This window comes from Homo sapiens, chromosome 17 (assembly GCF_000001405.40).
Source record: "Homo sapiens chromosome 17, GRCh38.p14 Primary Assembly".
Taxonomy (NCBI): domain Eukaryota; kingdom Metazoa; phylum Chordata; class Mammalia; order Primates; family Hominidae; genus Homo; species Homo sapiens.
The window spans coordinates 60029091-60044779 of record NC_000017.11 but is presented as its reverse complement, the minus strand read 5'-3'; the positions used below and the strand labels follow the sequence as shown (position 1 = coordinate 60044779).

At 47.2% G+C, this 15689-nt stretch overlaps 1 protein-coding gene and 1 non-coding gene across 2 annotated transcripts in view, besides 2 other annotated features; both read left to right on the top strand.

Moving 5' to 3' along the window:
* The window catches only part of HEATR6 (HEAT repeat containing 6), a 37914-nt gene extending 34142 nt beyond the window's left edge, over positions 1–3772 (top strand). The window contains exon 20 of the mRNA NM_022070.5: positions 646–3772. Coding sequence (NP_071353.4) covers positions 646–1217 — 572 coding nt within the window. The 3' untranslated portion in view covers positions 1218–3772. The remainder of the gene's footprint in view (positions 1–645) is intronic.
* Positions 1675–1755, top strand: MIR4737 (microRNA 4737). Its single transcript, NR_039890.1, has one exon. It is a non-coding gene; the product is annotated as a microRNA 4737 (primary transcript).
* Positions 4618–4912: an enhancer, noted in NCBI's record as "tiled region #13687; K562 Activating DNase matched - State 23:Low". NCBI's record gives its function as "activates a minimal TATA promoter and a strong SV40 promoter by Sharpr-MPRA in K562 cells {active_cell/tissue: K562}" and the evidence as "EXISTENCE:reporter gene assay evidence [ECO:0000049][PMID:27701403]".
* Positions 7630–7759: an enhancer, noted in NCBI's record as "active region_12522". NCBI's record gives its function as "activates an Ori minimal core promoter by ATAC-STARR-seq in GM12878 lymphoblastoid cells {active_cell/tissue: GM12878}" and the evidence as "EXISTENCE:reporter gene assay evidence [ECO:0000049][PMID:35858748]".

The following is a 15689-nucleotide window of genomic DNA, read 5'->3' as shown; positions in this document are numbered from 1 at the left end:
AGAAGCTGCATTCTACTCTGTCACCCATCTTGAGTAAGGACACCCCAAAGTGGAGTGGGTAGCAGTAGCTCTGGTAAGGAGGAAAGCAGGCTGATTTCCTAGGGCCTACAGGTGTGGAGAAAAGATAGAAATCTGGGCATCTTATTCTTGAAATTGTAAGTTTTCTTTTTCTTTGCAATAAAATGCATGACTGGCTATGGCCAGAGCAGTGTCTGGATGCTGTTGCAGGTGAGCATGCAGTGTGTGGCTTGCACACAGCTCAGAAGTGCCCAGCTGAGAGGATAGGTGGGGTTGCAGTTCAGTCCACGCTCTGCCCACAAAGCCATACCCCAACGGGACAGAATCCTCCCAGAGAAGAAGCCTTTTTCTGAGTCACCAAAGGCTTTATATTGGGTAGCAGAGGCTCTAAGCGTGTGGCAGGCTGAGGTAGGGAAAGAGGGAGGTTTGGGGATTGGCACCTGGCCACTTACCTAGGATCCTACAGTCAGTCACCACCCTTGTCTTACAGGATGATTGTGAGAATGAAGTGAACACATAAAATGAGTGTCTTGAGCACTAGTGTTTAAGCTTCCTTCCACCCCTCTCCCTCTCACCCCACCTAGTTCTAAGCCTGCATTTGTTTTAGTGACTGTGGATTCTTTCTAGGGACAGCCCCATGGACCTCCCAGGCCTACAATGCCCTGACATCGGTCGTGACATCATGCAAGAACTTCAAAGTGCGCATCAGATCTGCAGCTGCCCTTTCCGTCCCGGGGAAGAGAGAGCAGTACGGGTCTGTTGACCAGTATGCTCGGATCTGGAATGCATTGGTCACCGCTTTACAGAAGAGTGAAGACACCATAGACTTTTTGGAATTCAAGTACTGTGTCAGCCTACGGACCCAAATCTGCCAGGCACTGATTCACCTCTTGAGCTTGGCCAGTGCCTCGGACCTCCCTTGTATGAAAGAAACCCTTGAACTGAGTGGGAATATGGTCCAGTCCTATATTCTACAGTTTTTAAAATCAGGAGCAGAGGGAGATGACACTGGAGCACCCCACAGCCCACAGGAAAGAGACCAGATGGTCAGAATGGCCCTTAAACACATGGGCAGCATCCAGGCACCAACTGGAGACACAGCCAGAAGGGCCATCATGGGCTTTTTAGAAGAGATCCTGGCCGTTTGTTTTGACTCATCTGGATCACAAGGGGCACTCCCAGGGTTAACAAATCAGTGAAGATCCCACCATACTTTCTAGATGTCGAAGGCGGCAGTAGGAAGACCTGAGCTTGAGCATAAGATCTGTGGGATTTCATCTTAGGGGCAGAAACAATCCGTTCACTATTTATTTAGAATGACTTAGCAGCCATTTAAATTTTCACAGAGGGCTCAACCACCTTTGGAGTGACTCCATAGCACTGGCCATGGTCAGGGTTGTTGGAACATCTGACCTGTGCATCCAGGAGCCGAGGAGTCAGGTTGTAATACAGGCCAAGCAGACGGGCTTTGAGGGCATTTAGTCTCAGAAAAAAAAAATGTAGAAGGATTTCGGAATTAGAATTTTGTGTATTGTATCTGTAGTTTTGTAATAAACTAACGAAAAATAGTGTGTCCACAATCTCCTGTTGTTACCAAGTTGTATTTCTAGCAAGCTGCAAGCAGAGCTGCAGTTCAGCCAGTTTGTCCTGGCCCAGCTGCACAGGATGCGAGGATGCTGACAGTGCCTCACAGCCGCACAGGACCGAGGATGCTGACGGTGCCTCACAGCCACACAGGACGCGAGGATGCTGACGGTGCCTCACAGCCACACAGGACGCGAGGATGCTGACAGTGCCTCACAGCCACACAGGACGCGAGGATGCTGACGGTGCCTCACAGCCGCACAGGACCGAGGATGCTGACGGTGCCTCACAGCCACACAGGACGCGAGGATGCTGACGGTGCCTCACAGCCGCACAGGACCGAGGATGCTGACGGTGCCTCACAGCCACACAGGACGCGAGGATGCTGACGGTGCCTCACAGCCACACAGGACGCGAGGATGCTGACGGTGCCTCACAGCCGCACAGGACGCGAGGATGCTGACGGTGCCTCACAGCCACACAGGACGCGAGGATGCTGACAGTGCCTCACAGCCGCACAGGACGCGAGGATGCTGACAGTGCCTCACAGCCGCACAGGACGCGAGGATGCTGACAGTGCCTCACAGCCGCACAGGACGCGAGGATGCTGACGGTGCCTCACAGCCGCACAGGACGCGAGGATGCTGACAGTGCCTCACAGCCGCACAGGACGCGAGGATGCTGACAGTGCCTCACAGCCGCACAGGACGCGAGGATGCTGACAGTGCCTCACAGCCGCACAGGACGCGAGGATGCTGACAGTGCCTCACAGCCGCACAGGACGCGAGGATGCTGACAGTGCCTCACAGCCACACAGGACGCAAGGATGCTGACGGTGCCTCACAGCTGATGAGCTGCTGCTCCGAGCTTCTGGAGTGCCCGTGTTCCCCTGACCACCTTCCCTGCCACACCTCCCCACAATCCAATAACCAGAGTTAACTCCCAGCAAGCAGGGCCTTCTAACCTAGGCTACAACATTGACTTCTACCTACATTTCCTGATGCTCTTTAGGAGAATGTGATCCCACACACTAAATATATGGTTGTTTTGCCACCTTTTAATTTGTGCCTTTAAGAAAAGATCATTTGGTTAGTTGGTTACAAAGAGGGGTTTCCAATTATATTTTGATAATGCCCCACAAGTTATGAAGGTAACTTCTACTGAATATATATATTTAAATTTTGCATTTTTCTACTGAGCACCAACGATTTATTGGAATTGATTTCAATTAGGAATTTAGGGATATATAAGAACCAATTACAGTTGTCCATACTTATCTTTGATGTGGGACAATTAAGAAGTTACAAAAAATGGGTGTTGGTGATATTTTATCATGGTTATTTAGCTTAAAATACACGTGTAAAGGCAGGTGTCTTCCATTTTTCTCCTTTGCCTTTTAGCTGCTGTTTTCCTGCCTCTGACATGTTGGCTGCTCAGAAACTGCTCTCTGGGCAGTGATTGGGGAACAGGGTATTCAAGTTCACTAAAGGCTCAATTTTCCATTGATAGAATATCAGTGTCCACAGAATTAAGACTGCAAGCACAGCAAAGACACCCATATTGAATGTTCCCTTAAATTGCTTTTATTTGGAGACAATTCTGAACATGAAGTGTTATAGAGGGCCCAGGAAACTAAGTTGAGCCCACCTGACCCTGTGATGAATCTTGGAACTTCCGTCTCTTGAATACATTCTTAGTAGTAGCTTCTTGGCATTTTCAAAAAAGGAAAAAAAAAATATGGCATAGACAGCTTATTACTGTGATTCTTTGAGTTTTCTCAGGTGAGTTTTTTGATAAAATATTTGTGAAGTGGCCTCATGGTTTCATTTGATGATTCACTCTTATCCTTTCCTTATCTTGAATAAAATCCCATTCATTTTCTTTTTAAAACTTCAGCTTCTGTAAAGGTTTCCAGATCCTGATGTGGATGTTAATGTTCATGTGCAGGAAAACAATGAAGGCATAGCACCTCTAGAAACTTCAGAAGGCAGTGGTACCTGCTGTGTCCCAACAGTATGCTGATTCTCTTCTCTGCAGCATTGTGGGTGTACATACACTAAAGGACAGAAGCTCCTCATATGCCTGGGCACGTGCCTCCATAAAGCTGCTGTGGGGAAAGGAAGCCACTGACAATAAAGACAACTTAAGCTGATGAAAATCAGCACACAGCTCCACTGGTTCAGATTTCTAATGCAGAATGCCAGATTCTAAATTATCTTTTGACACTTAAAAATTGGGAGGAAGAGTCATCCAGGCACAGATGGCTAGGGCCCTTGTCCATTAGACTACAGCATTATGAGACGTTGCTTATCTTACTCTTTGAACCTTTTCTGTGACGAGTAAAAAACAAACAAACAAACAAAACATTAATTCCTATCCCCTTCCAGAACTCAAGAAAAGCGCCTCTTCTGAGGTTGGGTGCCATGGCTCATATCTGTAATCCCAATAGGCCAAGGCGGGAGGATCACTTGAGCCCTAGGAATTCTAGACCAACCTGGGCAATATAGGGAGACGGTCTCTACAAAAAAAAAAAAATTAAAAATTAGCTGGGTGTGGAAGTGCGCACCTATAGTCCCAGCTACTCAGGAGGCTGAGGTGGAGGATTGCTTGAGCTCTGGAGGTCAAGGCTGCAGTGAGCTGTGATCGCACCACTGCACTCCAGCCAGGGCAACAGAGTAAGACCTTCTCTCTAAACAACAAAAAAGGAAACCTCCTATGGAGCACCAATGCAAAGGTGTCCTTGATTTTGGTATTTGTGCTTGAATACAGACCATGAGCAAAAGCCTCACCATCTTTCCAGCATAAGAGCTAAGTAAATCAAATACTCTGGTTCATTCAGCCTTTGCTGCATTGATGTAGTGCAGTGGTTAAGAGCTTGGGCTTAAATCCTGGCTGTGCAGCTTTCTACCTGTGAAAGTTGCTTAACCCTTCTGTGCCTTATTTTATTCATCTGTAAAATGGGGATAAAAGTGCCTATTTCATAAGGATATTATAATGACTAAAATAGATAATACATAGAAAGTTCTTAGAACAGCTTCTGGCATTCAATAAATGTCAGGTATTTATTTCCTTGAATTTTCAGAGCAGCAGGCAGAAATACTGTCAACACATCATGAGCCTTTGTGATGGCAGTTAAACAGCTGGAATCTTGTAGGTCAGGTGCTAGCTGGCATGCCTCGGGAACCTGGATCAGAAAGATAAGCAGTGAGGAAGAGGCGCTGCTGCAGGACCTCTCTATCCTACTAGGAACAGCCCTCTGTCTAGCCCCCATGGGTCCCTCCCAGGAAAGAGAAGGGACTAGAAGTGGGAGAGGCCACACAAACTGAACAGGGAAGTAGGGGAGTAGGTCTTGGTTCTGCCTCATGACCCATCTCTGCGAGCCAGTCTTCAGGAATCACATCTCCAGCTTGCACACGCTCAGGAATTACTCCTGGTTTTAAAGGGCAACTCCTCTACTTAATGACTACACCCTTGGGCAGTCACTTGACCACTTATCTGTAAAGGGATACCAGTATCTCACACAGTTGTTCAGGAGTAGCTCCCATAATGTAAAGCACCTGGCTCGGAGCCTGGCATAGAGAGAGGGGCTCAGTGACAGATGGTGCCTCTTGTTACACTTTTCCTAGGTCTTCTCCCGGGGCTAGCATTTCTCTGCTTCTCATTGGAGTAAGATCCCTAGAGTGGGATATTGGAGAATGTCTGTCTGGTTCTAGTACACACCTTGAGTCCTCAAGCCTAGGCTGAAGGCATCCTCAGCTCCAGGAACATGGACATTATATTAGGGGTGGGGCCAAAGTCTTGGAAAATGAGCACTCATTCAATTACCATTTCCTTCCAACACACCCGAGCACCACAACACCGTAGCCCGCAGCCGTGGCTCACTGGACTCATCGGGGAGGAACGCGGTGGTGGTGCAGCCTCTCTCCAGGCATACTGCGTGAAAAAGCCCCTCCTTGAGAATGATTGCTTTACAGTCTCCACCATGACCAACCAGGATTTGCTGTAGGAATGCAGGAAAGTCCTATTAATAAAATGCAATCACATTAGTGGGTCAAATAAGAAAATACAAATGGTCATCTTTATGGATGCTGGAAGAGTGACGAAATGCAGTATCCTTTTCTGATCAAAATTATTTTTAAAAAAGAATTCAAAAAGATAATTCATTAGCATAATGAAATATACCTATCTTAATAGGGACTTCCCTAAAACTCAGAACCAAGACAAGCAAGAATGATATCACCAATATTACCTAATACTGTACAAGAAATTTTAATGGCCAATGTGATTCAATAAACCAAAAATCAAAATTTTCAAAGTTTTTTTTCAAAAAGAGGTTCCAAATTATCATTATTTGCAGAAAACCAGTCTGAGTGATTGGATTCACAAATCCTTGTGTGCAGAAAACCAAGAAAGTAATAAAACCAAAATTCAGAAAGTAATTAAACCAATATTCAGAAAGTAAAAAAACCAATAAAAGTTCTGTAAGGCAGCTGGTTACAAAGTAAACATGCCAAATCAGTAGCTCTTCTATATATCAGCAATAACCAATTTGATTTTTAATAAAAATTTTAATAATAAAAATACCTGAGAATAAATTTAACCAAGCTTATGCAAGGATTCTGAGGAAAAAAAATAAAAACTTTTACCAGTGGTCATAAAAGAAGATTTTTTTAAATGAGAAGATATATCATTACTAGACTGAAGGACTCAATCTATTAAAAGGCTACTTTCCTCCAAATCTATACATTTCATAAAATTCCCATCAAAATTAGAATTTTTTAAAGGACAAAATGATGTTTTTTTTCGAGACAGAATCTCACTCTGTCACCCAGGCTGGAGTGCAGTCATATTATCTTGGCTCACTGCAACTTCTGCTCATGGGTTCAAGCAATTCTTGTGCCTCAGCCTCCCAAGTAGCTGGGATTACAGGTGTGTGCCACCACACCTGGCTAATTTAAGGACAAAATGATTCTAAAGGTCATCTGGAAAAGTGAATAAAAAAATTCAAGCCAGGAATCAGGCTTACAGCTACCACACTGTGGAGGGAAAGAGAAATTTCTCCCCCAATTAGTGTGCATTTTTCAACCTTTAAAAATCCATGCTTTTGTTTTTTAAATAAAAATTCTTCTCCCATTCTCATTCCAGTCATACTCCGTCCTGTCTTTCCCACTGAATGTTACTATGAATCCTGGACCACAGGCATGGAGCAGCTAGCTCTGAAAACAAGGTGGTAGCAGGAAGATCAGGGAAGGAAAAGAGAACTCTAAACACCACCAAAGTGGCAGTAAGTCTGCCATTTTATTCCCCCTCTGGGGTCTCCTGGCCTGGACTCAAAGATGAACCAAAACCTGGAATTGCATACCAGATGCAGATAGAAAGAGCTCTGAGCCTCTGTTTCTGACCTTAGGAGAGAGGTAAGCACCCCTATAGGTCAGCAAAAGCGGGGAAATCCTGTGTTTGCTGTCTCTTTTCTCCCCACACCAGCCCCTAGGCAATCTCACTGCAGCAGTGGCAGCCAGGCAGGTGCCTAGAACTTCAAGGGAAGGAAACTCATCTCTCTGCCAGAGGAAGAATGGTCCCAACAGCAAGGGAGTCATGCCCATGGCTTTTTTCTCTTTACACAACCTTCCATGCTTGGCCGTGGAGGCAGACAGTCACAGAAACTGTAGGGCAGAGCAGTACAGTTAAAACCCTGACTTTCTAGCCAGAGGACCGGAAAGAGGGACCCCTGAGACTGTAAAGTGTTGAGATTTCAGAGAGGAGGGAACGCAAGAAGGCAATACCCTAAAGTTGTATGTGAACTCCTGGGCTCATGCCCAGGCATTCCATGTGTGGATCTGAACAAAGGCTTTGAGAACTGAACGGTGGGACAAGGCACTGTCCAGTCTCGTACCCGCCACTGGGTGGCGCACACACGGGGCGGATCTGAACAGCGCGGCAAAGGCTCTGAAGCTTAATTGATATTGAACCACAACCCGCAGGAGGCAGGTGGGAACTTGTGACTGAACCTAACCAGGACGATTGCCTGCCAAAGCAAAAACACAGGATTCCAACATGGCCCAGATTCTCATAACACAAAATTAGAATGTTCAGGATACCGTCCATAACTACTTGACCTGTAGAGAACAGAGAGAACCTTAATTTCCTGAAGACACTCCTGGGCTCAAGGGAATCTTCCCACCTCAGCCTCCCGAGTAGCTGGGATTACAGGTGCGTGCCACCACACCCGGCTAATTTTGTATTTTTAGTAGCGACCGGGTTTCTCCATGTTGGTCAGGCTGGTTTCTACATTTCACGTGAAGCACTAAATATATAACCTAAATAGACTATGAAAACCTAGGTGTTTTGTAATCCCTAAAGCAACTACATTTTCAACTTACACAAAAAGATATGGTTAAAAAAATCAGTGAATTAAAATGGAATTCCAAAAAATTCAAATAATCCAAAGGAAGGCAGGAAAAGTCAAAACAGGAATGAAAAACACAGGGAAAAATAGAGAACAAATAGAAAACACAATAAAATATTAAATGTAAATCCAAACATACCAACGATTATATTAAATTTAAAAAGTTGAAATATGCTAATAAAAAGATAGATTGTTGAATGTAAAAAACTAACAAACAAAAAACCCAACACTCAACTATATGTGTCTAAGAAACTCATTTTAAGTAAATAGTATAGATTAAAAATGAAAGGACAAAAAAGAAAGATATATCATACAAATACTAATCAAAAGAAATCTGGAGTAATTACATACCATCAGACAAAACAGACTTCAGAGCAAGGAAATTTACCAAGGATACAGAGGGACATTACATAATGATAACAAGGTCAATTTTCAAAGAAAACATTAACAATCCTAAGCATCTATGTACCTAACAACAGAGCTTCAAAATCCATGAGGCAAAACCTGACAGAACTGAAAAGAGAAATGGCAAATCAGCAATTACAGTTGGACACCCCAACCTGCCTTTCTCAGTAATCCCTAGAACAAATAGATCACATTCTGGATCATAAAACAACAATTTTTTTTCTTTTTTAGACAAGGTCTTGCTCTGCTGCTCAGGCTGGAGTACAGTAGAGCAATCTCAGCTCACTGCAGCCCAACTTCACGGGCTCAAACGATCCTCCCACTTCAGCCTCCCGAGTAGCTGGGACCACACGCTTGTGCCACCACACCTGAGTAATTTTTGTATTTTTGGTAGAGATGGGGTTTCGCCATGTTCCCCAGGCTGGTCTCGAACTCCTGACCTTAAATGATCCATCCGCCTTGGCCTCCCAAAAGTGCTGGGATTACAGGCATGAGCCACCACTCCAAGCCCATAAAACAAACCTTAACAAATTTAAAAGAACAGAAATAATACAAAGCAAGGTCTCTGAGCATAATGGAATTAAACCAGAGATCGATAACTGACAAAAATCTCTAAATAGTTGGAAATTAAATAATATACTTCTAAGTAATCCATGGGTCAAAGGAGGTAGTCTCAAAGGAAATGAGGATATTAGAAAATACTTAAAACTGAACAAAAACAAAAATACAATAAATCAAAATGTGTAGATGCAGCTAAAGAAGAGCTCAGATGGAAATTTATAGCATTTGATGCTTATTTTAGAAAAGAAGGAAGGCTCGAGTCAACAATCTAAACCTCAGCTTTAATAAACTAAAGAAAAAAAAGGGCAAAATAAACCTAAAACAAGCAGAAGGAAGGAAGTTTTGGTAAGTTAAAGAAGCCACTCTCAAAAGGTTACATATTGTATGAACACATGACATTATGGAAAAGGCAAAGCTACAGGGACAAAAAACATCGGTTGGTGGCCAGGGATTGGGGTGAGGCAAGGATGCCACGACAGGGAGCATGAAGCAGATTTGTGGGAGTGATCAAACTGTTCGGAACCTTGATTGGGGTGGGGCAACAAAACTCATAGGGCAGTATACCCCCAAATAGCCTTTTTATTAAAATGATAATCTCTCACTGTTTGGAATCCTGATTGGGGTGGGGTTACAAAACTCATGGAGCGGTATACTCACAAACAGTCTTTTTATTAAAATAATAATCTCTCTCTCACTCTCTCTCTCTCTCTCTCGATCTCTCACACATACACACATGCACGCACACAATGTTTCTCACCATGCAGGCTGTGTCTGTTCACCACTGCCAACAGTATGCCAGGTATAATAAGACTAAATATGTTTTTTTGTTGAATTAAAGCCATTCATTCAAAATGAATCACTGGTACCCAAAAGATGGGGTCTAACTTATGTTTAATTATAATGGGAATAAGTAGCACTTATTGACTGCTTTTTAATTTGCCAAGTACTGCCAAAGATTGAGATGCATTATTCAAATGCATTTATAACTCTTAGATCATTCTGTTCTTTATAATGGCATATTTCGTAGCCATTTCTATTTCTTGAAATTTCAAGTCTTTTGGTTTTTTTGATTCTTTTGGCAAACTTTCTTAAAAGTACAAGAGCCCAAGTTGCACAGGTAAATAATAGCAATGTAGCGGAATGACCACCAGATGGAGACAGAGAACACAAAGTTATTCAGACGCAAGGTTTTTGCCAGAGTTGTTTCCCAGGCTCAGGAGGCACAACACCTGGATATGAGGTTGCTCCCATTAGGACGCTGGTTCTCAAACCTGGCTGCTCATTAAAATCACCTGGGGACATTTACACTACTGATGAACAGCCCCCTTCACCCCACCCCTGAGTTTTGTGGTCTGGAGTACGGTCTTGCCACTGAGAGTTTTAAAAGCTGCACAAGTGATTCTAGTTGCAGACAAGTTTGAGAACCACTACTTTCAAACATGCAACAGTGGAGGGTCTCGAGCTGGTGTGTTTCAGAATCATCTGGGGAATTCGTGAAAAACAGAGACTCAGGCTGTTGTAGCCTTCATTCTTTTGAGAAGCAGTGTATTCTGAAATGATGACATGCTAAACTTAACAATAGTTAAAAAAAATAATCAGTACTGAATCTGATACAAGGCCAGGTGTGGTGGCTCACACCTGTAATCCCAGCACTTCGGGAGGCCAAGGTGGGAGGATCGCTTGAAGCCAGGAGTTCAAGACCAGCCTGGTCAACATAGCAAGATCCCATCTCCACAAAAGAAAAATTAAAAAATTAGCTGGGCATGGTGGCACATGCCTGTAGTCCCAGCTACTCGGAAGGCTGAGACGGGAGGATGGCTTGAGTCCAGGAGGTCAAGGCTGCAGTGAGCTGAGATTATGCCACTGCACCGAGCGTGGGTGACAGAGTGAGACCCTGTCTCAATAAACAGATAAATCAGATACAGTCTCATACTAGATTCTTTTCCAAACTGGGACAGCGGGTTTCCTCTCCAGAGAAGTATAGGCCACACATGCTGGCAGGTGCTGGAAGAGTTTCTAAAGCCGTGTTTGGTTGTTCCATTTTGGGATGTTAAGAAAAAGGCCACTCAGCCCGGTGGATTCCCAGCCTTCATGTAGTCTACTCCCCAAATTTGTTTTCACTCTCTTTTATCAAAGTGTTTAAATTATTTTATTTATTTTAATTTTTAATCTGATTTTTTTTTTTGTAGAGATGGGGGACTCGCTATGTTGCCCAGGCTTGTCTCAAACTCCTGGTCTCAAGCCATCCTCCTGCTTTAGCCTCCCAAATTGCTGGGATGACAGGTGTGAGGCACTGTGCCCAGACTAAATTATTGTAATATTACAGCTATTATGGATTCGGTTTCTAAATAACATTTGTTGTTTTTCCATATCATAAAAGTAATGAATCTCCATTGTGGAACATTTGGAAAAAACAAAACAAGACACACATGTAAGAAAAAATGACCTATTCTCCTGCCACATGGAGATAATCACAGTTATTTTGATATGTTTCATTATAGATTTTTTCATGATATGTGTACGTATGTATGGGTATACACTCTTAAGTGTGTGCTTACACGTGCTCCAAATGTGTGTGTGTGCACATGTGCACAATCCAATCTACATCGTGGGGAATCTACAAAGTTGTGGTCACAGTGTAGAGCCAGCCCCACAGGCCTCCCCAGAGACAAGGCCCTGGACTGCCCCCAAGTCCTCCCGAAAGGGACATCTGTGGTGGTGGTAGGGCCAGGATGCCATGAGCAACCACCTGGAGGCCCCGAGTACTCAGCGTGAACCAGGTAGTGGAAGGGAAGGGGAAGGGCAGAGTGAGAACCAGGAGGAATGCTTGCTTTTCTTTCCAAGCACAAGGGACCACTTTCTCCACTGCAGCTGACCTGATGCTTATGCCGGGAAGGAGGAGGGGCAGACTCCGTCCTCCAGGTCCCTCAGGAGGGGAGAAAGGGACCAAAGTGGGAGACTTGGGTCTGAGGTCTGAACTTGACCCTGCACCCGCATCGGTTTCTCTGGGTGGGGGTTGGGGAGGGAGCAGGCAGCCGAGGGCCCTCACCCACTGCAGGGTCTTGTGGATCACGAGTGATCCTGTAGTAAGTGAGGGTTTTGTTCACGTGGTTCAGAGTGTTACGGAGAGCTTTTGTTCTAAGCTTATTTGCCTGGAGAAAGGAAAAAATGATCTTATTAGCACCAAAGGGTGTGGTAGACAGAACGATGGCCCCCAGAGATGGCCACGTCCTAATCTCCGAAGCTGTGAATATGTTATTGACGTGGCCATGGGGAACTGAGGCTGCAGATGGGGTTAAGGTTGTTAATTAGCTGACTAATTAGGGAGATTATCCTAGACTGTCTGGGTGGCCCAATGTGGTCACAGGGTTCTTAAAAGCAGAAGAAAGGACAGAGAAGAGAAGAGTGAGATGTCACCAAGGAAGAAGGCCAGGGAGATGCAACCAGGCCGGCTGTGAAGGTGGAGGAATGGGCCACCAGCCAAGGAGGGCGGGCGGCCTCTAGAAGCTGGAAAGAGCCAGGAAATGGGTGGAATCCCCAGGCTCCAGAAGAAACGCAGCCCTGCCGACACCTTGACATTAGCCCAGGGAGACCACTGTCAGACTTCTAACCTGCAGAGCGGTGAGATAGTAAGTGTGTTGCTCTAAGCCTCTAAGTTTGTGGTCATTTGCTGCAGCAGCCATAGGAGGCTCATCCAAGGAGGATCCCAGCTCCAGCCCCTGGTGCCCTGGGGTGGGTTCTGCAGGACACCTGGTGTGGAACTGGAGTCTCCTTCCCAGGGCATGCCCTGCCTTTGCGGACTGTCCCCTCTGCCTGGAACCCATCCTGGCCTCAGGCATGCTCGTGCAGTGGCCTCTCTGAGCGGGAGTATTGCCACCACTCCTTCCTCCTGTGCCAGCGACTCTGAGCTCCGTGTCTGACTCAGTCTGATGCCCGCCACCCCGGCCTAGGTTTGGAGGTCAGGCAGCCCGGGGTTTCAATTCCAGCTCTGTGGCAGCGTCAGGTTCCCCACCGTGCAAAGGACACAGGAATCCCTCTCTCGCACTGCTTTCAGGAGCTGGTCTACAAGGAGACTGCTCTTTATAAAACACCGGGGAGAGTCCCGGGGACTTCCTACAACAGGCCCTGCCGGCTCCAGTCCCACGAGTTAGGGGTCACTGAGCTCCCGCATTGGGCACACTTCCCTGGTTACACTCACTCTTGGCTCTCACATCCCTGAGCTCCACCTGCAGCATAAGGACACCCAGGCCTGGTGCGGGGAGCCATTTCTTCCCCAGGAGTAGGTGGTGGGGCACTGCCGTGTCTCCTACAGCCCTGCCTTCCCCAGAGAAGGCGCAATGTTCCCTTCTGGGGTGGTCCTCCTGGACTGCGGTGGGCCCCAGGCATACACATTTAGGTCCCCAAGTCAACTCAGACTCTGCCCTGTGAAACTAAAAATAAAGCAACACTGAAGTGTAGGATGCACAGAAGGAAGGAAGTCTAAGAAGTTCTGATTTTTCATGGCTCAAGGTCACCTTGATGCTTTTATTTAATAGCATTTTTTTCTCTCCTCTCCTAGATGCACTGTTGTGCTGGTGCCTTAAGTGCATTTGTGGTTGGCCTCTTGGCCCATCTCTCATGGGAATGAGGATTCTGTGGTCAAATACATTGGGCAGATGCTGCCTACTTCATCCCCCTTACTGAGAGTCGAGGAGCAGCCCATCAGCACATTAAAGGCTCTGGTAAGTCCTACAGTAAAGAAACTGGTTTAACAATGTTTTCCAGTGTGATCTGACCACAGTCTTTGTTTGCACATCATAGTAACCTCCAGCTGAGAATGCTTCTTATAAAATGCCAGCCTGGAAATTCTCCAGGGGTTTCCCCCGATCAGCAGGTAGGTAACGCTGGAAGGCATCCCGGGTGTGGGACAGACTGGGCGCTCTGCATGGAGGTGAGTGGCTGAGGTCTCCTCAGCTTGCTTGGGCTCTGAGGGGGAGTGGCAGCTGTGGGCTTCCCTGGACTGGTCCAGGCCCCATAGGTGGGCACAGCTGGTGGGCAAGCCTGGGTGAAACTCCCTCACCTTCCTGGCTCCTGGCCGCAGGTGCAGCTTGACACAGGGGTCTGCCAGCCCATTGTGGTCCATGGGCTTCAGGTCCCGGGTAGAGAACAGCAAAGGGTGTGAATGGGAAATCGGGGGATGGAGCTGCCAGGGCCTGCAGGTGCCTGGGCCAGCAGATGCCCTTGTCCCCTGGGTCTCCTGGCTGGGTGCATTCATGGCCCCTGTCACAGAAGCCCCTGGCCCCACACCTCCAGACACAGGGAGTGAGGGTGGCATCGCGGTGCAATCTCCCCTCCCACAAACATCCTGGCCCAGGGCAGCTGTTAGGGGGCCTCTGTCAGGACAGACTTTCTCTCCTCGCCATCCTGAAAGCCAGGTGGCTCACCTTCCTCTGAGCCTCCCTCCCCACCCTGCTTTGGTCAGGCCCTTCCCTCGTCCTGACTCCTCTCCCCCATCTTCCCAGCACCGCCTCCTGAGAGGCCACGTCCCTCACTGACCCTAAATCCACATAACCCCGGGTCACCGTCGGAGAGGCCCCATTTCTGGCCATATTTGTCACAACTCCCAGTCAGTCCACAGAGGTCACACAAGCTGATCGGCCACAGAGGGTTCCTCCACAAGACGGCGCCCCTCACTCACTCTGCCTTCCGTTCCCTTAGAAAACCCAGCCAAGCGTGCAGACCCAGGGACACACAGAAGGATGGGCAGATAGGGGCTTCGCTGACCTCAGCAGGCTCTTGTTTCGGAAAACCGCATTTTTTTTTTCTTCTGGGCTGGAGCACAGGGCTGTAGGGAGGCAGCTGTGGCATCTGTGGGGCGCAGCCGGTAACCCCAGAACATTATTCAAAGATGCACCGCAAGGCCTCTACCCAGCCGGGTCAGGGAGGCAGCCTGGCTGCTCACACCAGGCTCATCTCCAAGGGGAGGCTGAGTCTCCCTCCCAGGCCGACCCCACCTTGGTTTGGCAGAGCTCCGGGGGATCGGGGGGCTCCCAACCACCTACTTCTCTGCCACTGGAAGAGGGCAGAAGTTTGGGGGCCTGGCTGGCATGGTTTCTGGGCTCAGCCCCTGTATTCACTCGCTAGGAAGTGGATGAGTACTTTTCACCCGAAGCCTCAGCTTTATCATCATCTGCGCCTCAGCCGGGCGCAGTGGCTCACACCTGTAATCCCAGCCCATGAGCCCAGGAGTTCAAGACCAGCCTGGGCAACATAGTGAGACACTGTCTCTACAAAAACTTTAAAAATTAGCTGGGTGTGGTGGCACATGCCTGTGGTCCCAGCTATTAGGGAGGCTAAGGGAGGAGGACTGCTTGAACCCAGGAGGCAGAGGCTGCAGTGAGCCATGATCATGCCACTGCACTCCAGTCTGGGCAACAGACTGAAACCGTTTCTCAAAATTAAAAAAACAAAACAAAACAAAACAAAAAAAACGGGCAAGGATGTAAGAGTCCCATCTTCCCAGGGCTGGAGTGAGAGGGAGGGAGACGACGTGGACACAGGGCCTGGCAGGCAGAGCGTTTCCTCCCCTTCCCTGCACGCCAGGCCCCTGTGAGATGCCAGAGAAGTGGCTGAGGTCAGGTGGGCATACGTGAGCTGTGCCCTGCACTGTGGGGCTGCCTCTGGGACAGGGCCTGGCTCAGTAGCCCCATGTGCACCCACAGTGACATGGCTGCTC